This window comes from Homo sapiens, chromosome 12, assembly GCF_000001405.40.
Source record: "Homo sapiens chromosome 12, GRCh38.p14 Primary Assembly".
NCBI classification, from domain to species: domain Eukaryota; kingdom Metazoa; phylum Chordata; class Mammalia; order Primates; family Hominidae; genus Homo; species Homo sapiens.
The window spans coordinates 55919119-55941951 of NC_000012.12; the positions used below are offsets into that span (position 1 = coordinate 55919119).

Here is a 22833-nt window from a genome sequence, read left to right on the forward strand (position 1 = left end):
CTCAAAATTTGTGCACAGAAACATTATTTGCATTTTATTTTATTTATCTTTGAGATGAGGTCACTGTCACCCAGGCTGGAGTGCAATAGCTGGACCTTGACTCACTGCAGTCTCCACCTCCCAGGCTCAAGCAATTCCTCCCACCTCAGCCTCCCAAGTAGTTGGGACTACAGGAGTGTGTGTGTCACCACACCCAGTTAATTTTTTGTATTTTTAGTAGAGACGAGGTTTTGCCATGTTGCCCAGGCTGGTCTCGAATTCCTGGGCTCAAGCAATCCACCCGCCTCAGCCTCCCAAAGTGTTGAGGTTACAGGCGTGAGCCACCACTCCCGGCCTCTATTTTAGTTATTTATTTTGTGTCACATCTCAGAAGATTACTAGGTGTTTCAAGGATTCATATTTTAGAAAATAACAGCCAATCTTAACAGTATAATTCAAAATATGTCATTTTACCTTAATGTTATATATGCATATGTGCTTAGAAAAACTAGGCTGGGGGCCAGGCATGGTGGCTCACGTCTATAATCCCAGCACTTTGGGAGGCCAAGGCAGGCAGATCACCTGAGGTCAGGAGTTCGAGACCAGCCTGGCCAACACGGTGAAACCCCATCTCTAACTAAAAATACAAAAAAATAGCTGGGCATAGTGGTGCGTGCCTGTAATCTCATCTATTTGGGAGGCTGAGGCAGAATAGCTTGAGCCCAGTTGGCAGAGCAGAGATCGCGTCACTGCACTCCAGTCTGGGTGACTGGAGACAGAGCAAGACTCCGTCTCAAAAAAAAAAGAAAAAGAAAAAAGAAAAACTAGGCTGGGTGCAGTGGCTCATGCCTGTAATCCCACCACTTTGGAAGGCCATGGTGGGAGCACTGCTTGTGAAAATGAGTTTGAGAACAGCCTGGGCAACATAGCTCTATAAAAAAATTCAAAAATTAGCCAGCCATGGTGGCGCATGCCTGTAGTACTAGTACCAGCTACTCAGGAGGAGGAGGCAGGAGAATTGCTTGACCCCAACAGTTAAGACTACAGCAAGCTATGACTGTGCCACTGTACACTAACCTGGGCAACAGAGCAAGACCTTGTCTCTTTAAAAAAAAAAAAGGAAAAGAAAAACTAGTTGCTCATGCCTATAATCCCAACACTTCAGGAGGCCAAGGTGAGAGGATCACTTGAACCCAGGAGTTGGAGACCTGCCTGGGAAACATAGCAAGACCTCATCTTACAGATAATTTAAAAAATCAGGCCGAGCACGGTGGCTCATGCCTGTAATTCTAGCATTCTGGGAGGCCAAGGTGGGCGATCCTTTGAGGCCAGGAGTTCAAGACCAGCCTAGACAACATGGTAAAACACCATCTCTACTAAAAATACAAAAATTACCTGGGAGTGGGGGTGCATGCCTGTAATTCCAGCTACTCGGGAGGCTGAGGCAGGAGAATCACTTGAGCCCAGGAGGTGGAGATTGTAGTGAGCAGAGATCGCACCACTGCACTCCAGCCTGGTGACAAAGCGAGACTCCGTCTCAAAAAAAAAAAAAGAAAAAAAAAGAAAAAGAAAATAACCCTAAATGCCGAAAAAGATGCATGCACAAAAACATTCTAGTGTTCTTATAATAAAAATTCTGAAAACAATCTAAAAGTCCAATAACAGAAGAAAGTAAGATAGGGTGCATGCCCAAACTATAAAACACTCTGCCAGTATTTTAAAAGATGTTTACAGAGTTTTTAATAGCAAGGAAAAACATTTACCTCATAAGGCTAAATGAAAAGGCAAGATATAAAAATGTATATACCATCTGGTTCTGCTATGTTTAAAACAGTTTAGAAAGATATATGCCATATATAACAGCAGACTCTGGGTTGATGAATTAATATTGAACAAAAATTACATAACTAAATTTGCACTTAAGAAGCAGTAATCTGGTAGCAGTGTATCTGTAGAAATGAAACAAGAGAGGGACTGGAAATACGATGACCAGTTTAGGAGGTCACAGTAATATTTGCAGAACAACAGAAACTAGAATTTTAGCAGGCACTTGGAATGGCCCAAGTACTATGCCTGGTACTTGGCCATATATAGTAATTTCTTCTAACCCATACAATGACCCTTACATAATAGTAATAATTATAGAACAATGTGTTGGACACTTTTTATGTGCCAAACATGTAAATTACTTTATTTAAATTTTAATACGCATAATAATCCTGTGTTGCAGGAGTTATTCCAATTTCATTGATGAGAAAACTAAGACTTAGATTCCCAAGGCTATATAGCTAACAAGTACTGTAGATGGGATAAGGGTAACAGCAGTAGGAATAAAAGAATGATATTTTGATAACTGATATACATGAGGAGGGCAAGAGAGAAGTAAAAGATGATAATAAAAATAATCATAAAAAAATAAAACTCCCATAAATAAAAAAAAATACTCCCATAGAAATAAAAACACCTAGTGATCAGATCTTAGTTTTTAACATTACTCTTTAGTAAAAAGAACAAGGGCTTCTTGGAGAAATGGCAGACCGCAGGACTGGAGCAGAGAACAAAATCATACCTGCAATGATGGCAAATGTCAAAGGGAGATGGGCCAAGTAAAAAACTAAAAGAGTTCCCAATGTTCAAAACTGGAACATTTGAGCAATAAAGCAAATAAAATAGTATTGGATTATAACCTAACATATAAAATACACATCTATAAGTCCATATTGATATACATAAATTAATAAAGGAAAAGAAAAAAATCTCCTGGGCAGAAAAATGCCAAATAGTGTGTTTTTTTAATTGTTTTTTGAGACAGCCTCTCACTGAGGATGGAGTACAGTGGCACAATCACGGCTCAATGCAGCCTCAGCCTCCCTGGCTCAATCTTCCCCTCTGAGGCTCCCTGAGTAGCTGGGACCACAGGTGTGTGCCACCTTACCCAGCTCGTTTTTTTTTTAAATCTTTTTGTAGATAAGAGGTCTTGCTATGTTGCTTAGGATGGCCTCAAGCAATCCTCCAGCCTCAGCCTCCCAAAGTGCTGGGATTACAGGCATATGCCACCATGCCCAGCCCTTAATCTCTTTTTTTAAGGAGAGCACAACTCTCTACTCCTTATGCGTGGGCTGGCAATAGTGACTTCCCTACAGTATGGAAAGGAAGGGGGTAAAGCCTAACTTTACAGTGAAGCCTTACAAACAATATCTCTGCCAGATGATCACGGTCAATACTAACAGGCTGGGCATAGTGACTCATGCCTAGTAATCCCAGAATTTTGGTAGGCCAAAGGGGAACAATACCTTGAGCTCAGGAGTTCAAGACCAGCCCAGGCAACATAGTGAGACCATCTTTACCAAAAAAAAAAAAAAAAAAAAAATTAGCTGGTCATGATAGCACACGCCTGTGGTCCTAGATACTCAGGAGGCTGAGGTGGGAGGATCAATTGAGACTGGGAGGTCAAGATTTCAGTGAGCCATGATGGCATCACCGCACTCCAGTCTGGGCAACAGAGGGAAGACCCTGTCTCAAAAAAACAAAAATATTAACAGTAAAAAATCATTGTGATACTATGTACCCTGATACAATGTGATGAAAATGTCACTTTACCTCTGTGGTCTTCCTCCCCAAAACACATAACCCAAATCTAATCATGAGAAATACATCAGACAAATTCCAATAGAAGGATATCCTACAAAATACCTGACCAGTACTCCTCAAAACTCAAGGTCATGGAAAACAAGGAAAGCCTGAGAAAATGTCACAGCCAAGAGGAGCTTAAAGAGACATGAGAACTAAATGTTATGTAGTACCCTGGATAAGATCCTGGAACAACAAAAAAAAATTAGGTAAAAAGGCTGGGCGCAGTGGCTCACACCTGTAATCCCAGCACTTTGGGAGGCCGAGGTGGGCAGATCACCCGAGGTCAGGAGTTTGAGACCAACCTGACCAACATGGAGAAACCCATCTCTACTAAAAATACAAAATTAGCCGGGCATGGTGGCACATGCCTGTAATCCCAGCTACCCAGGAGGCTGAGGCAGGAGAATCACTTGAACCCGGGAGGCAGAGGTTGCGGTGAGCTGAGATCTCACCATTGCACTCCAGCCTGGGCAACAAGAGCAGAACTCCGTCTCAAAAAAATAGTAATAAATAAATAAATATAAAAATAAATTAAGTAAAAACTAAGGAAATCAGCCAGGCATGGTGGTTCACACCTGTAATTCTAGCACTTTGGGAGGCCAGGGCGTGAGGATTGCTTGAGCCCAGGAATTTGAGATCAGACTGGGCAACAGAGCAAGACCGCATTTCTACAAAAAATACAAAAATTAGCCAGGCGTGGTGGTGTGTACCTGTAGTCCCAGCTACTCAGTAGGTTGAGATGTGAGGATCACTTGAGCCCAGAAGTTAAGACTACAGTAAATGGTGATTGCACCACTGCACTCCAGCCTGGGTGACAGAGCAAGACCCTGTCTGAAAAAAAAAAAAAACAAAACTAATGAAATGATGTATGGATTCTAGTTAATAGTAATATATCAATATTGCTTCATTAATTGCAAGCAAAGTACTATATTAACGTAAGATGACAGTAATGGGGAAACTGAGTGTAGGGTATATGGGAAATCTCTGTAGCATCTTCTCAATTTTTCTATAAATCTAAAAGTGTTCTAAAAAATCAAGTATATTTAGAATATTAAAAAAAGAAATGGCTAGGCGTGGTGACTCATGCCTGTAATCCCAGCACTTTGGGAGGCCAAGGCTGGCAGATCACGAGGTCAGGAGTTCGAGGCCAACCTGACCAATATGATGAAACCCTGTCTCTACTAACAATACAAAAATTAGCCAAGCGTGGTGACATGTGCCTGTAATCCCAGCTACTCAGGAGGCTGAGGCAGAAGAATCACTTGAACCAGGGAGGCGGAGGTTGCAGTGAGCCGAGATCGCGCTACTGCACTCCAGCCTGGGCGACAGAGTGAGACTCTGTCTCAAAGAAAAAAAAAAAAAGAAACGATACAAAAGTTTACCTTGGGTTGGCTAGAATAATGGTGCCTTTAACAGAAATAGTGATGGAAAAACTGATACTGGTTTTGGTCAGGTTGGATTTGAGGTATAACAGTATATCCAAGAGTGAAGATATTCACGAAACAATTAGAAAAAGGCATAGGCAACTCGAGAGAGGGTAGTGCTAGAAATAATGACTGCAAAGAGTTAAGAACAAATAGGCAGCAAGGAAACAGAAATATCAGGAGATTTCTTCATATTCGAGAAATCTGGGGCCAGGTGCATGCTCACACCTGTAATCCCAACATTTTGGCAGACTGAGGTGGGAAGATCACTTAAGGCCAGGAGTTCAAAACCAGCCTGGGCAACATAGCAAGTCTGCATCGCTTCATTTTTAAAAAAAGAAAGAAACAAACAAAATCTGGCTGTGAAGAAAAAGGAAACAAAAATGATAGGCCTTGAGTTTTCAGTGAAATAAAAATGAAGTCTTCTGCCAAAAGAAGGAGAATTAAAAGGGATGGTCACACAGATCTGGAAAAGGTTGGGGAAACAGCTATGGAAGAACATAAAAAATAAATTTAAATATTTATTTATTATTTATTTTTGAGACAGAGTCTCGCTCTGTCGCCCAGGCTGGAGTGCAGTGGTGCGAACTCAGCTCACTGCAACCTCTGCCTCCTGGGTTCAAGCGATTCTCCTGTCTCAACCTCCCGAGTAGCTGAGATGACAGGCCCACGCCACCATGCCACCACACTCAGCTAATTTTAGTAGTTTTAGTAGAGACGGGGTTTCACCATATTGGTCAGGCTGGTCTTGAACCCCTGACCTCAGTTGATCCACCCACCTCGGCCTCCCAAAGTGCTGGGATTATAGGCGTGAGCCGCCATGCCCAGCAAAAAATTTTTTTAAAAAGAAAAAAATAATTAGAAGCCATGATCTTGGCAGAAGTTAAGTTATATTGAATCTGATAGCTCTGTACTTTTTCTCTAGCAACATGCTGTGGCCTAGAAGCGGAAGCCAAGAAAACATCTCTAATCATACCCATCATTAGAGACAACAGAAGTGCCTGCTTAGTATAGAAAATCAAAATGAATAAAGAAAGCAAGAGGATATTATCAAAGTGGCTGGTCACAGAGGTCTAGCTGGGCAGCACCAAAGGCCATAAGGTACTGACAGATTCAATGAAATGGGAAGGTCAAGAACCAGAGAACTTGAGGACAAAAAGCTGATCCTGTGGGTTTAAGATAGTGAAATAGGTGACTGGTAAGGAGGCTAAAGTGATGGGGAGCAGCTGAAGAAAAAGCGGTGTCCTAGATGAGATCCAGGTTGTAGTGATTCTGATGTGCAACTGGTTTGAAAATACAAAGGAAAGTCGACCGTCTCATGCTGAGGAACTATGAAATCAGAATATTCCAATGGTGCTGGAGACACTGAAAATGATAGCAAGAAAAAAAGGAGAGAAAAAAATATGATGCAATAGGTCTGGGTCCCTGTGGGCAGTAAATGATGACACTAAAGTTTTACAGAAACTGCTATAATTGCATGGCAATACCTTCCATGAGGATTAGAGTGACAGTGGTAGATCAATGATCTGGACATAGTAAAGGAAAACAAAAAAGCAGTTTATTCCTTTTTCTCTTCCACATAGTCACGGAAAACAGAAAACAGCTTTTAGTGACAAGGTAAGGTAAGATGTGATACCTGGATTTTCACGGAGTCAGGGTAAAGAAAATGATTAAGAGTAAAGAGAAGTATACTGGATAAGTAGTATTTTCAAAACACACATTAAAAGTTGGTAATTCATGAAGGAGCTACTGGGTAGAGAACAGAAGGAAAGAGGTAGTACCACTTTAAATTGTGAGGTTGGGGAGAAGTAGCAGCAACCTGGGTTGTCATCAGATACCATAAAATAGGTGGGCTGAGGTGTAAGGAACATGGAAAGCAGCAGAGCAAGAAGCAAAATGGCACATTTTAAAACACCGTGTGTACCAAGGCACAGGCACACTGTTGCTTCTACAGACTACAGACTACACATATGAGGGCTACAAAAACAGAAACACTTTGCACTTGCACAGTATTTTATAAATTGCTTTTACATATATTATTTGATCATCATTGAGTAGCTATTACTACTATGCATATTTTCCTAAAGATGAGGCCATTAGGAAGGGACAAAACCATGATAAAAGCTGTGATTCTCCGTTTCCAACACATACACCTTACATACACAGCAGACACTTCAGCATCTCGGCCAGCCAGGCTGCAAATTCTTCTCTAGCCAGAAGGAATAGTGGGTTTTATTCACTTGTCAAAGGGCTTCGGAGAAAAGCCACTAGATACTTTCCTGTTTGCCTTTTCCCACCTTAGACCCCTCAATTTCTATCACCATCACGGGAGAAGGTAGCGAAGGGTGGCTCCATCAGGGAGAAAACTCAAGCTGAAAGTTGTATTAGGGTCCTCTTCCCTTCACACCTCTAAACCTCAGTGACCCAACAAATGAAGATACGGGAGAGGAAAAGGTACTATGTAGAAACGAGGAGGTCTTCAGCAAATAAAGCTTCGAGAAAAATAATGAAAACGGGACTGGGGTAGGGCAGAAACCAAGTATAGCTGAGATGGGGGAGGGGAAAAGAAGGAGGGCAGGAACTGGAGGGAAATGAGAGTGTAGAAGCCCCCAAGCCTGAAGAACCTAAAAGAGATATGAGTGGTCCAACTGCTGGAGAAAAGCTAAGGGCCCGTGAGGGTCCTGAAGCAGGGACCAGCACTGAAGGACCCCAGGGTTTGGGTGACCGGAAGCAGAGACCCCAAACACGAGACCAGAAGGGGGCGCAGGAGACACCCCGTAGGAGAGAATGAATGGGGAAGGCGGTCCGGGGGGCGGGGCAAAGGAGGGGCCCCGGGATGGGCGGGGCACAGACCCCTTTCCAAGTCCGAACCCCTGCCCCGAGAGCCCGGAGAGAAGCGGCTCCGCGCCTCCCGCACTCACCGCCGGTCTCGTCAGTAACATAGGGAGTCGCCATCTTGAAAACGCAAACCACTTCCGGCGTGAGCGGGCTGGGGTCCCGCCCCCCTCCCCACCGGAAGTGGAGTCCCGATCGTAGCAAGCCACCATCTTAGTCTTAAAGGGAGAGTGCACCATTTCATGGGCGGAGGTGGAGGAGGAGGAAGAGTGGAGAAGCTGAAATAGTTAATAAAATAAAGCCGTGGGCTTTTTACTGCCACCGATACCATTACTGAGCGCTTGCTGCCTGTAAAACAGTCCTCAGGGAGCCAAGAGAAGTTCCGAGGCACAGTCCCTCTCATCCCCAGGAACTCCTCGTACGTCCAGGACCTGCGAGGGAAAAGGGCGCAAGGCCCACCTGCACCCAAAAAGGGGGCCTTATAAATGAAGAAAGGAAGAATATCCAGGCTCTGGCCTGCACCCAGATCTCAGAGCGGCTTGGTGACGTGGAGCAGACAAACTCCAGGAACGCACTGGGGCGCACAAGTGTTTCTAGGGACGGTTGGAGACCCTATCTAACCCTAAGAAGGTGGGGAGGTCGAATTCGTGTGCCGATTGCTGTCGGCCAACCCACTCAACCACCAGAGACCCGCGGGAGGGGCGTGCAAGGCGGAGGGCGCCGCGGGTCGGTCACCTGTCTCCGTAGCCGCAGGGCTGCCGGCAGCTTCCATGGCCGAAGAGGCAGCGGACCAGGTTGGGCGGGCGGCCCTGGCCTGGCTCTGCCCCGCTGGGCGGCGCCGGGGATTCGGCGGCGAAGTGATGAGGGCCCTAGTTGCTTCTCGCCCAGACCTCCTAACCCTGAGTGCCTCCTCGGGCTGGGCCCTAGGGTCAGAGGGCAGGGTGAAAGCTTCTGGGCGGACCTACTTAGTATTCTAATTAAACTCGTCCAACCGCTGAGGATCTAAAGCGGGGCAACTCGCCAATAATCCGGTCCCGTAGTGTCACTCCATTTGTAGTCCTGCCCTGCGCCGTACCTCCCTATTCTGCAGACGAACCCATATGGTCTCCCTCCGCCGCCCATTTCAGCAACTGTTGTTCCTTCAGGGCTAAGTCCTGTTAAACTTGTTTCCCCTACAGCCTGAGAGGAGCCCGGCTGCAGGTTCCTCTCCTCAGGTGTCAACTCTGCCCTCCTCCACCCTCATATAGCTTTTTCCTTATCAACCCTTTTACCTTCCTGCTTATATCCCCACTTTGGCTTAGTTTAATGTCCAGCAGTACCCCTGGAACCAGGGAGGAGGCAGGAGGTAAGTATTGGTGACTACCTCCAACACTAGGCAGCATGTCCCATTTAAAAAACAAAACAAAACCCAGGCGCGGTTGCTCACGCCTGTAATCCCAGCACTTTGGGAGGCCAAGGCGGGTGGATCACGAGGTCCGGAGTTCAAGACCAACCTGGCCAAGATGGCGAAACCCCGTCTCTACTAAAAATACAAAAAAATTAGCCGGGCGTGGTGGCGGGTGCCTGTAATCTCAGCTACTCGGGAGGCTGAGGCAGAGAATTTCTTGAATCTGGGAGGCGGAGGTTGCAGTGAGCCAAGATCGCTCCACTGCACTCCAGCTTGGACGACAGAGTGGGACCCCGTCTCAAAAAAAAAAAAAAAAAAAAAAAAAAAAAACTAAAAAACTGAGCAATGGCTGACTAGGACCTTTATAAGACAAATTAGGCCTCAGAAGTTTTCTGGGGGCCGCAGCTTGCCTTCCTTCCCATCCTCCATGTCTGTGACTTCCACTAGAGGCCAATTCAGAATGTCTGGGGGTGGGGCTCATTTAAAAAGTATTTCCAGGCCGGGTGCGGTGTCTCATGCCTGTAATCCCAGCACTTTGGGAGGCCCAGGTGGGCAGATCACTTGAGGTCAGGAGTTCGAGACCAGCCATGGCCAACATGGTGAAATCCCATCTCTACTAAAAATACAAAAATTAGCCGGGTGTGGTGGCGAGTGCCTGTAATCCCAGCTACTCGGGAGGCTGAGGAATGAACCTGGGAGGTGGAGGTTGCAGTGAGCCAAGATCGTGCCACTGCACTCCAGCTTGTATTATAGAGCAAGACTCAGTCTCAAAATAAATAAATAAAAAGTATTTGCATACGATACACTGTTATTGCAAGTGTTGTGACACTGTGGTCTTAAACCCTTGCTCTCTTTTCACCGATTGTACTTCAGCCCTGCAGGGTCTAACATCTTGTCCTTAACCTTGTTATGATTAGACGTGAGAGTGTGGGATGAAGCCTCTAAGAACTAATGGGATACGTTGGTCTTGACTGAACTACCTCAGGAGTGGTCTCTGCAGCTTTCAGAGGCTGCTCAATAGACCTTTGTGCAGGAGGGAAACCTAAAGTCGCCCCTGTTCACTACCAACCCTAGGCCCCCTTCCCACCCCCAGACATCCTGCCTCAGCACTAGGGTTGACAGGAAGTGAAACTCAATTGTCTGCTTAGTAGACCTGCCTGGGACCCAACCCGGGGCCCCGGATGTGGCCCCCCACCCTGAGGAGGAACAGGGCAAAAAAGGCCGGGGAGAACAGGCTGTTGTTTTTTCCTTTCCCTTTGTTCATTGCGGTTTCTTTCTTTCTGATTTTTATGATGTGGTTGATTAAAGAAATGAGCACCTGGAACCGTAGGCATTAAACGCCTCCTTCTTAGATGTTTCTTGGCTTTTCTTCCCCCACCCACACCCCCCAGTAACTGACTTGGGGTATGATGGAGCACAGATCCTAAAGAAGACACAAAGAAGTCTAGAGTAAGACTGATTCCACCTTATTCCTTATTCGAGAGATAACATTACACCCCACTTTGAAGTACCAAAAACTATCTTAAAAGGAGTGTCTTCAACTTTATTTAGGGACATATCTAAAGACGATAGAGTGAGAAACACAGGTAATACATAGGGTGGCATTACTTTGAGCATTCTTTGCAAGGAAAGCTGAGTGCCTTAGAGATTAATATCGTTCCAAGATTTCTAAATGAAAGATCCAGGGACAGAAAACTGATAGGCAGAGGTGTTAGGGGACCTATTCTTACATTGTATGTTTGTTTAAAGTAGCTCAGAGCAGAGAGGCTTTACACACATTGCACCACTCATTGATATAGTCCCTAAACTGGACTATGTTTTTGCTTGTATTGCAGAACTAAGTACAGGACTTAGTGTATAAAAGGCCTTCAGAAGAGTTTGTTTACTATGACTAAGGAGGTCATAGAGGAAGGAGAGATGAAGCTTTGCTAACAGTGAAGAAAATACTGTAAAGACAGGATGGGGAGTGTCAAGGGCCTTGTTTTTTTTTTTTTTTTTTTTTTTTTTTAGACAGAGTTTTGCTCGTGTCACCCAGGCTGGAGTGCAGTGGCATGATCTCGGCTCACTGCAACCTCTGCCTCCCAGGTTCAAGCGATTCTCCTGCCTCAGCCTCGCGAGTAACTGGGACTACAGGCATGTGCCACCACGCCCGGCTAATTTTTTGTATTTTTAGTAGAGACAGGTTTTCACCGTGTTAGCCAGGATGGTCTCAATCTCCTGATCTCGTGATCCGCCTGCCTCAGCCTGCCAAAGTGCTGGGATTACAGGTGTGAGCCACCGCGCCCGGCCTTTGGCCCTTGTCTTTTTATGATTGGGGGTGAGAGGGTGAGACTTGGAGGGGCACAGGAGCAGAGAGACAGACCCCTCTTCAACCTATGCCCGAAATCTCCAGTTTGGATACAACAATACTCCCAAACCCTATTACTCAGCAGCTATATTTCTGGCAAATGTGGAGGAGTCTGTTCCAACAAGCCTGTCTTGAAACAATCAAGAACTGCTTAGATATCCCTGTTTCCACTAGAGGGCCTCATGTATTCATTCCCTTTCCAACCCCCACCAAAAGTATGTATATATTATGTGTGTGTATGTATGCATACACAATACCCACACATGCATATACCCTTCTAGTCAGAGGTCTCCCCTCCCCCTTCTTCCCACCCCCAGGTGTAAGAAGGACGATTCCAGGAACCTAAGGCTTTGTTACTCTGCCCCATTTTCAATGAAGGGTAGGAGGGAGTTAGACAGGGGTTGGGGCGGGGCCAGTGAGCAGGATGCCTGGGTCTCCAGTTCCTGCCAGTGAGTCCCTAGGCCTCCATCTCTCTCCCTTGCTGTACCACCTTCACCACCATCCATGCGACCCCAAGAGCCTTAATGACTCTAGAAGAGACTCCAGGCAGGGGAAGCTGAAAGGACCTTTCACTCCCTACTTTTGGCCAGGGCCTTCTGTGCCACCTGCCAAGACCAGCAGGTAAAGTGGGAGGATGAGGGCGTGGAGAAAGGGTGGACATAGACCAAAGTGCAAAACTCCACCCTAGAATTAAGGAGAGAACATGAGTCTTGACAGGAGGTGTCCTTAGACTGGGGAAAATAGGTCTAAAAGGAAAGAGGAACGTGAAGAAGGTGGGGAGATTGTCTCAAGCAGGGTAGAGCCCGGGGCGGGAGGGAGGTGTTTGGTCAGGTTGTGGAGTTTGGGACTCTGGGCTTGCCCCCGTGGGATCTCCTGAGTGTGAAGTCAGTGGTGGATGGAAGGGAGTTGGTTAGGGAAGTTCAGGATGGCAGCAATCAGGAGAGAATGAGACGTTGGTTGGGTGCCCAACTGCCGAGCTGTTCTGTTAGCGGCCCGCCCGGTATCTTGGTCTCCCAGGTTTGGGATGAAGGGAGAGGCTGTGAGTGATTAGAAAGAAGGGAAAATAGAAGCAGAGCTGCCGCCGGCGCGGGAAGAAGATGAGGAGCGCAGCAAATGGAGAAAATGTGTCCAAAGCCCCGGACATATTCGAGGGAGGGTGGAGCAGGTTATGGTGAACTGGAAACCTAGAAACGGGCCTCTCCAACTTCGAAGTTCCCAGAGTCGGGGGCGCCGGGCGCGGGCGCGGCGGGCAGGCTGGGGTGGGGGGCGGGCAGCTATGTCGTCAGGAACGGGGCGGCCCCGCTGCGGCCGCGTCTGCCTGGCCCGTCCCCTCCAGCCCAGCTCGGGCTCCAGCTCCAGCGCCGGCGCTTCAGCTGCGACCGCGAGCCCTCTCAAGCAAGGTAGAGACCCCGCGAGCCCCCCAGCGCCCCACCCTCCCCCATCGGAAAAGGACAGGGGTAGGGAAGCCGAGGACCCACGGGCTGCGTTCGTGCTGCTGGGTCGGGAAGGAGGAAGCGTGACAGCTGGAGCGGGTATCGAGAAGGGTCTGCGCTGGGACGCGGGGGTGCAGCGGGAGGGCTGGGCCCGAACCCGGTGGGTAACGTTTCCCAGACCTTCCCCTCCATCCCTCCCGCTCATTCGGAGGGATGGTGAAGCCCGGTTCCTGGGACCCGACTCGGAGGGAAGTCCTCTTCGGAACCTCCACAGTGCCGCACGGGTGGAGAAGGGTTCTTGTTTGGCCTCCAGGTCCCCAACTTCCCACCCCATCCTCTCCCCACCTGTCACTGGGAAGTTTCTGAAAATACCTGAGTCTGAATCTCACTTTTCACCTTGATAGGAGAAATGAGCCTTCCTGAGGAAGAATGGCAAATATTACTGGGCATCTCTTCAGCCTCAGCACAGACAAGCCCACATCCCCCAACCATGCCAGTATCGTAACTTCCTCCTATACTACGCAATGACACCCTCTACACACACACACACACGCACACACACACACACACACACACACACACACAACCCCCTCAGCCAGGTGTAGCACTGCAGTCTTCAGTGTTTGTGGAGGCTTAATAAGTTTTGAGGCTTCAAGCAAATGATTCCCTCTTGAGGGCTACCTACTAGCAGCAACGGTCAGGGAGAGGAGGAGGATACAGTCTATGATGTGATTAAGGAATTCAGAAGTCCAGGTAATCAGGCCTGGGCCCTCAAATTCGGGGCTCCTGCCCCTCTGGGGCAGCCTCAATATTCTGGAGACATAGCTATTTCCTGAGTAATGGTCGACTTAAAGGACTTGGAATGTGAGCAATGAACGCTTAAGTGAAAAAAGGAAACTTTAAATACTAACACAGGCTTTGGAAACAATATTTATCTCTTGGTTAAAATTTTAGTATTTGATGTTTAAAATTAGATCCAGAGAGCCATGAGCTCTAAGATTTAGTGGAATGTACTAAGGATGGGTGTCTAGAGTCTGACTGTGCCCTTAAGAGAGTAATTCTCTCTCTATGCCTCAATTTCCTCCTCTGTAAAATACGAGGGTTGGTGACTCCCAGCTCTGTGGATGTTCTAAGATTCTCTGCCTCCAAGTCAACTTCTTCCTTTCTCGCCCCAATTGGGTAGGGGCGGGCAGGGAAACCAGAGGAGGGAAGGGAAGGGTGAGTCACAAATAGCTGGCAGGCTGGCAGCAGACCCCACCCTCCCAGCCCTGGCCTTCGCCTAGACTAGCCCAGGTTATAGCCTCAGGGTTGGGATGGACCTGGAGGAAAAAAAATGGACTTGTTCTAGGTCTTCAAGTCCCCAGGATCCCACAGTTTGCTGCCCTTCAGCTCCAGGGATAGCTAAACTTTCAGTCAGAGAAGTCAAGAAAACCACTGAAAAGATCCCAGGAGCACTCGTTTCCAAGATTCCAGCCCAGGGGTGTCCTTGAACCCTGAGAGTCTAGCTCTAGCCACCTCGTCATCCTCCCAGAGGCAAAGTTCAGAATCCTGATACTACATGTTTGCACCTGACAGATATATTAATAACAAGGGGTAAGACGTACAACTGGGCTTCACTGATGCTAGCAGTCCCTGAAATTTATGCCTTCCTGGTTCAAAGACATCATTTTTCCTAATCTCCAGAAATGTTTCTCTAGGTACTACCCTTGTGTAATAATGATAATAGCTGATGTTCATTGAGTTCTTATTCTGTGCCATGCTGTTTGCTAAGTACATTGCATATATCATCTTATTTAATGCCCACATTGCGACTGATTTCTGTAGGTGCCCACTTTACTGATGAGAAAACTGAGGCTCAGGGAGATGAAATGACCTTTTAAAGAGCTAGGATTCTGATCCTTGCCTGTCCAATTTGCAAGTCCATTCTCTTAACTTCTACTGTATACTACTTCTCCAGGTTTAAGACCTGGGGAGCTAGGAAGGAGCAAGAAAGAGTTAGATCATTGTAAAAAGAGAGGCAGAGAAGAAGCCTGTCCTCTCTCCTTTGCATTGTAACTTGTTTGCTCCCTCCTTGTCACTTTCTCCCTCAGATTCCATTTCCTAGAACTTTGGAGTCATCTTAGAATCCCCAGGGGTAATCAGAGAGGCTAATTAAGCTATAGAGGCCCCATTAGCCATAAGACTATTAGTATTCATTAGGTCTGTTGGCAGCAGAAGTTGGACTATGGTCATTGAAAAGTGCCAGATGGGTAGAGTCCTTTCTCTAGGATGTCAGTATCCCAGAACCCTCTTCTGAGTGTTCCCAGAGAGCTGCTGGAATAGGAATGGTGTGCTGCATAAAAGTAGGCAGCAGAGATGTCCCAAGGGAAGAGGCTGCAGAGAAAGTTCTTGCATCATCAGAAAGGAAAAGGGCTAGGCTGTTCTTGAACACCCAAACTGCTTCCCTTACCCAACAAGCCCTAAATGAGTGGGTGGAGATCAGGGTGTTTGATGGGGTAGTCAATAAGTGCTTTTCAGCATCATTCATTTATTTAACAAATATTTATTTAGCACCTACTCTATGTACTACAAATTATCTCCTTTCCTCTGACTGTCAGGTGGACACTCTGGCATCCTATTCCCATGTAACCATATTTGGATTAATAGCCCCAAATTATGAATCCCCAGCTTTACACAATCATGTGTACAACCAATATTCAGCACCCACTACATACTGGGAAGGGTATCCCAGGCAGACAGAACAGTAAGACTCATTGCTTTGAGCAGGGGAGAGCTTGGCATGCCTGAGGAACAGAAAGGAGCACAGTGAGACCAGATGGCGGGGTGTGAGGAGAGAGTGGAACAAGAGGAGGGCAGAGGGACAAACAGAGGCACTACCACATGGCCTTGGGCTGGAGCCTTGGATTTTCCATCTATCAACTGCCTTAGGAAATCCAAGCTTCTCTGAGCTCCAGTTTCTTCATCTGTAGAATGGTTATGCCAATAATTTCCTATGTCTGATGATTTGATTCTAATTGTTAGTACAATAATAACTAGCATTTCTTGTAGGCCTCCTAAATGTCAGGCATTGTATGAGTGACTTTTCATATATTGTTTTACGTAAGCCACACAACTGTGAAAAATGGTTCTCATTCTCCCCATTTTGCAGATATAACTTCCCCAAGTCACACAGTGGTATCAGAGCTAAGAATGGGACCCAGATATGACTGATCTAGTTCTGTTCCAAAACCGTGCTGTATTATATTAACGTAAGATATGTTATTATCATTACTGAATCAAGGAAAGTCGCCCACTGCACCTTGGTCCCTGGATCCAGTAGCCAAAACCTGGGGCTCCCTAAGCACTGCTGACCTAGCGGAGTGGAAGGAAGTTCCCAGGAGCCGAGACACTAGCACTCGGCTCCATCGTCCCAGGACTGGGAAACACTAGATCTGTTGGCAGCAGAAGTTGGATTATAGTCATTGAAAAGTGCCAGATGGGTAGAGTCCTTTCTCTAGGATGTCAGTATCCCAGAACCCTCTTCTGAGGAAGAGACTCTGTGGGTACCCAGAGTCTCTTCCCCTGCCTCTTCCCTACCCCGCGCCTAGTTCCCCACCCTTCCCTAGTGGAGCTCCGCGGAACGCAGTCCAGGCGGGGCCGGGGCTAGGGACCTTGCCAGAGCTGGTTCTGTGTCGCGCGTCAGAAGCGCTAGAGGTCGTTGCGTGGCGTGGGTGGCTCGGGGAGTGGGTGGCTGAGCGGAGCTGGGGTCCCTGGCCAGAGGCGGAACAAAATGGGGTCATGGCCAGGAAGACGCGCTAACGCAGTAAGAGTCACTCAGAGGGCCGGAACTGCCGGAACTGCCGAAGACCCGAGATGGGAGAGAGCTCAGGATGGGGAGAGTCTGCAGAGATTGACGATGGTGGAAGAAAGCGCAGAAACAGACAAGGGACACACCCACAGAAACATATATAGACTGAGAAAGCCGGGTGCGGGTGGGAAGGTGAGGGTGGTCAGATGAATCAAGATAGGTTGGGGGAGAGGGAGAAGGATCCAGAAATGGAGAGACAGAGATGAGTCAGAGAAACAGAGACAGAGGACAGACACTGTCAGGGAAGGTAGAGGCATAGGGAAGAGGGACACAGGGAAAGGAAGATGTTTAGGGAGGGACTAGGAGAGAAGGAAAGAACAAAAAATAATAGTGGGAGTAGAGACAGAATGGAACAGACAGAAGAAAAGACACCCAGACAGCTGGCTCTTCCCACTGTACGCTCTGTCACCTTTCCCCAGGCCTACCCTCTGAAGAGGTCCAAGCAACGGAAGTACTACTACGAAGCTGCCTTTCTGGCCATCCTTGAGAAAAATAGACAGATGGCCAAGGAGAGGGGCCTAATAAGCCCCAGTGATTTTGCCCAGCTGCAAAAATACATGGAATGTGAGTCTTCCTGTCAGGCCTTCAGTTCTGGAGACCCTGCCCCAGAGAATCCCTCCTCCTCCTCATTACACCCCCTGCCCCCCAGCTTCCTCAGTGGCTTTGAGCAGTGTGCTGCTCAGATGTGCCCATGACTGGAAATGGGAGGAGTGGGAGATGGGGAGATGTCAGAAAAAGATCCGGATCTACCACAGTCTAACTGGGCTGCATTGTGCAAGGTCTCGGCTCTCTACCCACCTTCGCTATACCTGGACTGCTTGCTCCAGCTCTCAGAGAAGAGGAGTAAAGAGTGGTACTGTTTTGGAGGATCTGAAATATTTTTCCCTCTGTATTTCTGTGTTTCTTCTTGGAATTTCTTCATCTCATTTGAATCTTTTTTCCTGCTGGATTTCTCTGGCAAGAGAACTCAGCTGGACTAATAATGCTGTTCTCTTACTCTCTCTACACCCTAGACTCCACCAAAAAGGTCAGTGATGTCCTAAAGCTCTTCGAGGATGGCGAGATGGCTAAATATGTCCAAGGAGATGTGAGTGGCAGCTGGGAAATCTTCTTCTTGATCAACTCTTCCCATCTTTGTTTTTGATCCCCAACTTCCAGGAATTATTCTGGGCCTGCCCCTCACTATCCCCTCTAGAGATACCCTAGTGTCCATTGTCACTCTGACTATTGCTTTAGGATAAAACAAGGGATTCTATTAACTCAGGACTTAATCAAAGAAACCATACTCCTGCCTCAGATGCTTCTCAGCTCTGCATTTATTATCCCTGTCCCCGCTACTCCCAATTCTTCAGCCCCAGCTCTGACCTTGCAGACTCCCCAGGATAATGCTCACTCTCATTATAGGCCATTGGGTACGAGGGATTCCAGCAATTCCTGAAAATCTATCTCGAAGTGGATAATGTTCCCAGACACCTAAGCCTGGCACTGTTTCAATCCTTTGAGACTGGTCACTGCTTAAATGAGACAAATGTGACAAAAGGTATGGTCAAGCAGGTAGGACTGGGCTAAGCCTCTGGCAGAAAAATCAAACTAGTATGGATTTGGGGTTGAGAATTAACTTGAGTCACACGTTGTGCAGGTTGGGGGAAATTGGTGGAGAATAGTCAGGCTGGTCTAGGAGCTAAAGGGAGGAAAGGTAAAGGGGAAAGGTAAGTCGAGGGCAGTGGCTCACACCTGTAGTCCCAGCACTTTGGGAAGCTGAGGTGGGAGGATTGCTTGAGGCCAGGAGTTCAAGGTGCAGTGAGCAGTAATCATGCCACTGCACTCCAGCCTCAGTGACAGAGCAAGACCCTGTCTCTCAAAAAAATCAGTAAATCTTTTTTTTAAAAAAAGGGAGAGGTGGGACAAACAAAGGATAAAACATGAGCCAAAGTGGAGGGAGCCCTGACTTCTGATCTGCTTTTTTGTAACCAGATGTGGTGTGTCTCAATGATGTTTCCTGCTACTTTTCCCTTCTGGAGGGTGGTCGGCCAGAAGACAAGTTAGAATGTGAGTTGCCCTTCTGAAGTGAGGTGGCAGGGCAGTGAAGGGAGAGAGAGGTGTTTCCCATCCTCCTTTCCCTTATTCCTTCAGGATTCCTAAAGGCTGACAGGTCTAGACAAAGGTGGGGCCAGAGAATGAGCCCATTTCCTGTGTTCTCCCAGACTATTTATACCTAATACCCTTCACCATAGTCACCCCAGTACCCATGTCTTGTGCATTCCCATGTAGGCGGCCTAGGATGTCCTTGGGATATGGATTATGTATTGTCTCCCCTGACACATTCACTGAGGGTAGAGTCCATGCCTGTTTTCCTTTCCTTTTTGTCTCTCTCTCAGTCCCATCCCAGGCTCTAGGCTTCTCACCCAAAAGCTCTCTCCCTGTCTCTTTGTTTCCCCCATATTCTGGTATGAATTCTTTGGGTATCTCTCACAAACTGACCCTGGCCCCCCTAAAACACCCCACAGTCACCTTCAAGCTGTACGACACGGACAGAAATGGGATCCTGGACAGCTCAGTGAGTTGGGGACCCTGTATGCTGGGCAAGGGAATATGTGTTAATTTGTCTGCACCCTCCTGCCCCAACTCTTCCAGGGTCTTAAGAAACAGAAGAGGATGGGGGGAGAGGTTGAGTCCTCTAGGACTAAATTTGAAAGTAAGTCCCAAGCTCTTGACCCCTCAAAGAGAATGCTGGATACATGAATTGGGTCTGCCTTACAAACATACAAACACATTTATTTACTTGGCAGACATACCTGAGAATGAGAGGTGTGAATCTGGGGTGGAACCCAGGAACACTGATTTCTGGAAAAGAGTTTGGATGGTGGTAGTAAAGGGGATATGGCTGTGGCTCTTGCCCTTTTTGCTCCAGGAAGTGGACAAAATTATCCTACAGATGATGCGAGTGGCTGAATACCTGGATTGGGATGTGTCTGAGCTGAGGCCGGTAAGGCAGCTCTTCCTTCATGTCCCTTCTTGTACCTTCTTCCCTGGTGAGTCCTGCATCTGCCTTACTTCATCTCTGACAGGCAACCTGGTTCCCTTGGCTAGGATGGCTGGGCTGGATATCCTAAGAGGCAGTGGAGAGGTGTTGGGTCTGAAGACCCACTCATACTGAAAGTCCCTTTCCACTCTGTGCTCAGATTCTTCAGGAGATGATGAAAGAGATTGACTATGATGGCAGTGGCTCTGTCTCTCAAGCTGAGTGGGTCCGGGCTGGGGCCACCACCGTGCCACTGCTAGTGCTGCTGGGTCTGGAGATGGTGAGTAGGAGAGACTTTGGGGGATGAGTAAGACAGCCTTGGGTTATGCTTGCCCGGATTGGCCCTGTAAGGGCTTTGACACTCCCTAGCATCTACTGTGCCTTCCTAGACTCTGAAGGACGACGGACAGCACATGTGGAGGCCCAAGAGGTTCCCCAGACCAGTCTACTGCAATCTGTGCGAGTCAAGCATTGGTCTTGGCAAACAGGGACTGAGCTGTAACCGTGAGTAATGGGAGCTGGGAGGTAGGGGAAGAGGGTCAGCCCAGCTATCTGTGGGAGCTTGATGCTGTAAACTTAGAAAAGACCTAGGTTTGAATCCTGGGCTCTGCCACTGACTAGTTATGTGACCTTGGGAAAGCCACATCACTTCTTTAAGCCTTAGTTTCCTCAACTGAAAATGAGGTAATTGTGAGCATTAAAAAAGTTGGTGCAAGAAAAGTGCTTCAGATGGTGCATGCACATACTATAAAATGCAATAAAAAATATCTATTATGATTACTGTTGCTGTTAGACCTGGGCCTCCCAAGCATTATCCAGCTCAGTTCCTGCCTGGCACATGGATGGTGTGGGGCAGGCATGCAGTAGCAGCTGATCTTTTAGGAGGAAGAGTAAGGAAAAGGCGTGGGTTTTGGAGGTGGGCACTTCACCCCGAACTTTTATTCTGCTACACCCTCAAGCAAGGGATCACATATCTGATCCTGCCTCACCCTCAGGTAAGAAGGAAATAGGGGGAGAGGCTCAGCTAAGCCTCCCAACTTCTTCCTTCTCCCTCAGTCTGTAAGTACACTGTTCACGACCAGTGTGCCATGAAAGCCCTGCCTTGTGAAGTCAGCACCTATGCCAAGTCTCGGAAGGACATTGGTGTGAGTGATCTCATGCCTCCACCCCCAACATCACCTACATCCTGGCCCTGGCCCTGGCCCTTGGCCCATTGCTGCCCTCAGCCCCTCCCTCCCCTAGGTCCTGCTCAGACCCTGCCAGACAAGGAACTGCCTTTCTCCCCAAGGTCCAATCACATGTGTGGGTGCGAGGAGGCTGTGAGTCCGGGCGCTGCGACCGCTGTCAGAAAAAGATCCGGATCTACCACAGTCTGACCGGGCTGCATTGTGTATGGTGCCACCTAGAGGTCAGTTTGGGAGCCATCCCTTCTGGGTGCGTCTTACCCCGCAGAGCTGCCTTCTCCACGGGCCTCCGGCCACACCTCCTTTACAGGCACAGTTGCCCCTGCTCCCAAGGGCTCTTTCCAGCCCAGACTGCCAGGTTGAGAGGAGACAGGGTTACCTTCGTGATCTCTCTGTGCCCACCTCGTCTTTCAGATCCACGATGACTGCCTGCAAGCGGTGGGCCATGAGTGTGACTGTGGGCTGCTCCGGGATCACATCCTGCCTCCATCTTCCATCTATCCCAGTGTCCTGGTGAGACCCTCGGCAGCAGCGGGGAGGGGACAGGAGTGCCTCCCCGATTTCCCACACGCACAGAGTGGCATTTAGAATAGAGAGCTCATACTTTTAGGATTCAAGTCAGACCCCTCTATTTAGGGATTCATGCACAATACAGCTTTTCTTCCCTCTACTTTCTTCCCCTCCCAGGCCTCTGGACCGGATCGTAAAAATAGCAAAACAAGCCAGAAGACCATGGATGATTTAAATTTGAGCACCTCTGAGGCTCTGCGGGTACAGGGCTGAGAGTCTTGGGCTTCATGATGGGGGCAGGTTTTTCACTGGAGCCCTCATGGGTGGGAATGAAGTGGGAGAGCCTGGTGGGGAGCGGTTGATGCTCACTCTCCAGAAACTCCACCATGGTAGGGGAGGGAAGGGGAGGGAAACAGGAGGGAGGGGGGAAATATCTTGGTGGAATGCTAGCCCTCTGCCCCTGTCTCCTGGGCCCACCTTAACTCTGACAAAATCCTGCTTTCTTTGTCCTTATTTTCTTCCCCCAATGCAGATTGACCCTGTTCCTAACACCCACCCACTTCTCGTCTTTGTCAATCCTAAGAGTGGCGGGAAGCAGGGGCAAAGGTGAGGAGAAATATATTGGGTCTTCTAAGATGAGAGGCAGGGCCTGCCTGCAACACTTAGAAGGTGGAAGGGGATGTGTGTGTCTGGAGGGGCATACCTTGAGGAACACACAAAGAGGGTGAGGTTCAGAAGATCACCCCCAACCCCCGCGCCTGCCATGAACTTTTCTTTTTCCCACACACAGGGTGCTCTGGAAGTTCCAGTATATATTAAACCCTCGACAGGTGTTCAACCTCCTAAAGGATGGTCCTGAGATAGGGTGAGCACAGGTTAGGGACTGTATCACAGTGTTTTCGTGGGTCTGTGTATCTGTATATGTTAGGAGAGTGCAGGAAAGAGTGCAGATTGGGAGAGGAGGGCTAGAGATCCCCAAGAGGCCAGAATTCAGAATATTTCCTTCCCTAGGGTCACTGGGTATCCCATCCTCCGAGCTCTCTGGCCCATCTTTGTCCTGCTCTCAAAGAATGAAGATCCAATTTTTCCCTAACCACTGAGGAGTGGCTATAACTTTCCCCATTGTTCTTTTCTGTGACCTTCATAGAAACTCAAGTCTTTTGACAAAAAGGAGGAGGGTCCTACGGAATGAGAGACAAGAAGCAATCTGCCTGCTCAGGACTTGGGTAGCC

General features: G+C 47.9%; 2 protein-coding genes and 1 long non-coding RNA gene across 36 annotated transcripts in view, besides 8 other annotated features; 1 reads left to right on the forward strand and 2 right to left on the reverse strand.

Moving 5' to 3' along the window:
* The window catches only part of LOC124902941 (uncharacterized), a 9946-nt gene extending 5293 nt beyond the window's left edge, over nucleotides 1-4653 (reverse strand). Inside the window, exon 1 of the long non-coding RNA XR_007063325.1 lies at nucleotides 4323-4653. This is a non-coding gene — a long non-coding RNA (uncharacterized LOC124902941). The remainder of the gene's footprint in view (nucleotides 1-4322) is intronic.
* The window catches only part of PYM1 (PYM1 exon junction complex associated factor), a 26482-nt gene extending 17706 nt beyond the window's left edge, over nucleotides 1-8776 (reverse strand). Inside the window, exon 1 of one of the 2 annotated variants that reach the window (NM_032345.3) lies at nucleotides 8607-8776. In NM_032345.3, the coding sequence (NP_115721.1) occupies nucleotides 8607-8643 (37 nt within the window). In that variant the 5' untranslated portion in view covers nucleotides 8644-8776. 2 annotated transcript variants of the gene reach the window in all.
* Nucleotides 7718-7867: a silencer, noted in NCBI's record as "silent region_4539". NCBI's record gives its function as "represses an Ori minimal core promoter by ATAC-STARR-seq in GM12878 lymphoblastoid cells {active_cell/tissue: GM12878}" and the evidence as "EXISTENCE:reporter gene assay evidence [ECO:0000049][PMID:35858748]".
* Nucleotides 7886-8466: an enhancer, noted in NCBI's record as "NANOG-H3K27ac-H3K4me1 hESC enhancer chr12:56320788-56321368 (GRCh37/hg19 assembly coordinates)". NCBI's record gives its function as "activates a minimal SCP1, AML or CMV promoter by ChIP-STARR-seq in primed H9 embryonic stem cells {active_cell/tissue: H9 hESC(primed)}" and the evidence as "EXISTENCE:reporter gene assay evidence [ECO:0000049][PMID:30033119]".
* Nucleotides 7958-8177: an enhancer, noted in NCBI's record as "active region_6461". NCBI's record gives its function as "activates an Ori minimal core promoter by ATAC-STARR-seq in GM12878 lymphoblastoid cells {active_cell/tissue: GM12878}" and the evidence as "EXISTENCE:reporter gene assay evidence [ECO:0000049][PMID:35858748]".
* The window catches only part of DGKA (diacylglycerol kinase alpha), a 26708-nt gene continuing 12072 nt past the window's right edge, over nucleotides 8198-22833 (forward strand). For 2 of the 33 annotated variants that reach the window (NR_147026.2, NM_201554.2), the window contains exons 1-15: nucleotides 12945-13005; nucleotides 17305-17449; nucleotides 17899-17972; nucleotides 18290-18425; nucleotides 18860-18934; nucleotides 19393-19442; nucleotides 19797-19871; nucleotides 20068-20187; nucleotides 20297-20411; nucleotides 20964-21052; nucleotides 21196-21315; nucleotides 21506-21604; nucleotides 21779-21862; nucleotides 22134-22207; nucleotides 22392-22466. Coding sequence is in view for 31 of the 33 variants with exons in the window: in NM_201554.2 (NP_963848.1) it covers nucleotides 17386-17449; nucleotides 17899-17972; nucleotides 18290-18425; nucleotides 18860-18934; nucleotides 19393-19442; nucleotides 19797-19871; nucleotides 20068-20187; nucleotides 20297-20411; nucleotides 20964-21052; nucleotides 21196-21315; nucleotides 21506-21604; nucleotides 21779-21862; nucleotides 22134-22207; nucleotides 22392-22466 (1250 nt within the window). In the remaining 2 variants the exon portion in view is untranslated. Of the gene's footprint in view, nucleotides 8502-8952; nucleotides 9217-12043; nucleotides 12227-12291; nucleotides 12379-12944; nucleotides 13138-13442; nucleotides 13792-16186; nucleotides 16287-16715; nucleotides 16841-16889; nucleotides 17018-17304; nucleotides 17450-17898; nucleotides 17973-18289; nucleotides 18440-18853; nucleotides 18935-19392; nucleotides 19872-20067; nucleotides 20188-20296; nucleotides 20412-20963; nucleotides 21053-21195; nucleotides 21316-21505; nucleotides 21605-21778; nucleotides 21863-22133; nucleotides 22208-22391; nucleotides 22467-22833 lie in introns of those variants that run through there. The other 31 variants (XM_017018900.1, XM_047428436.1, XM_047428434.1 and 28 more) reach the window with 30 other exon arrangements.
* Nucleotides 8218-8387: an enhancer, noted in NCBI's record as "active region_6462". NCBI's record gives its function as "activates an Ori minimal core promoter by ATAC-STARR-seq in GM12878 lymphoblastoid cells {active_cell/tissue: GM12878}" and the evidence as "EXISTENCE:reporter gene assay evidence [ECO:0000049][PMID:35858748]".
* Nucleotides 8467-9047: an enhancer, noted in NCBI's record as "NANOG-H3K27ac-H3K4me1 hESC enhancer chr12:56321369-56321949 (GRCh37/hg19 assembly coordinates)". NCBI's record gives its function as "activates a minimal SCP1, AML or CMV promoter by ChIP-STARR-seq in primed H9 embryonic stem cells {active_cell/tissue: H9 hESC(primed)}" and the evidence as "EXISTENCE:reporter gene assay evidence [ECO:0000049][PMID:30033119]".
* Nucleotides 20822-21322: an enhancer, noted in NCBI's record as "H3K4me1 hESC enhancer chr12:56333724-56334224 (GRCh37/hg19 assembly coordinates)". NCBI's record gives its function as "activates a minimal SCP1, AML or CMV promoter by ChIP-STARR-seq in naive H9 embryonic stem cells {active_cell/tissue: H9 hESC(naive)}" and the evidence as "EXISTENCE:reporter gene assay evidence [ECO:0000049][PMID:30033119]".
* Nucleotides 21323-21823: an enhancer, noted in NCBI's record as "H3K4me1 hESC enhancer chr12:56334225-56334725 (GRCh37/hg19 assembly coordinates)". NCBI's record gives its function as "activates a minimal SCP1, AML or CMV promoter by ChIP-STARR-seq in primed H9 embryonic stem cells {active_cell/tissue: H9 hESC(primed)}" and the evidence as "EXISTENCE:reporter gene assay evidence [ECO:0000049][PMID:30033119]".
* Nucleotides 21443-21532: an enhancer, noted in NCBI's record as "active region_6463". NCBI's record gives its function as "activates an Ori minimal core promoter by ATAC-STARR-seq in GM12878 lymphoblastoid cells {active_cell/tissue: GM12878}" and the evidence as "EXISTENCE:reporter gene assay evidence [ECO:0000049][PMID:35858748]".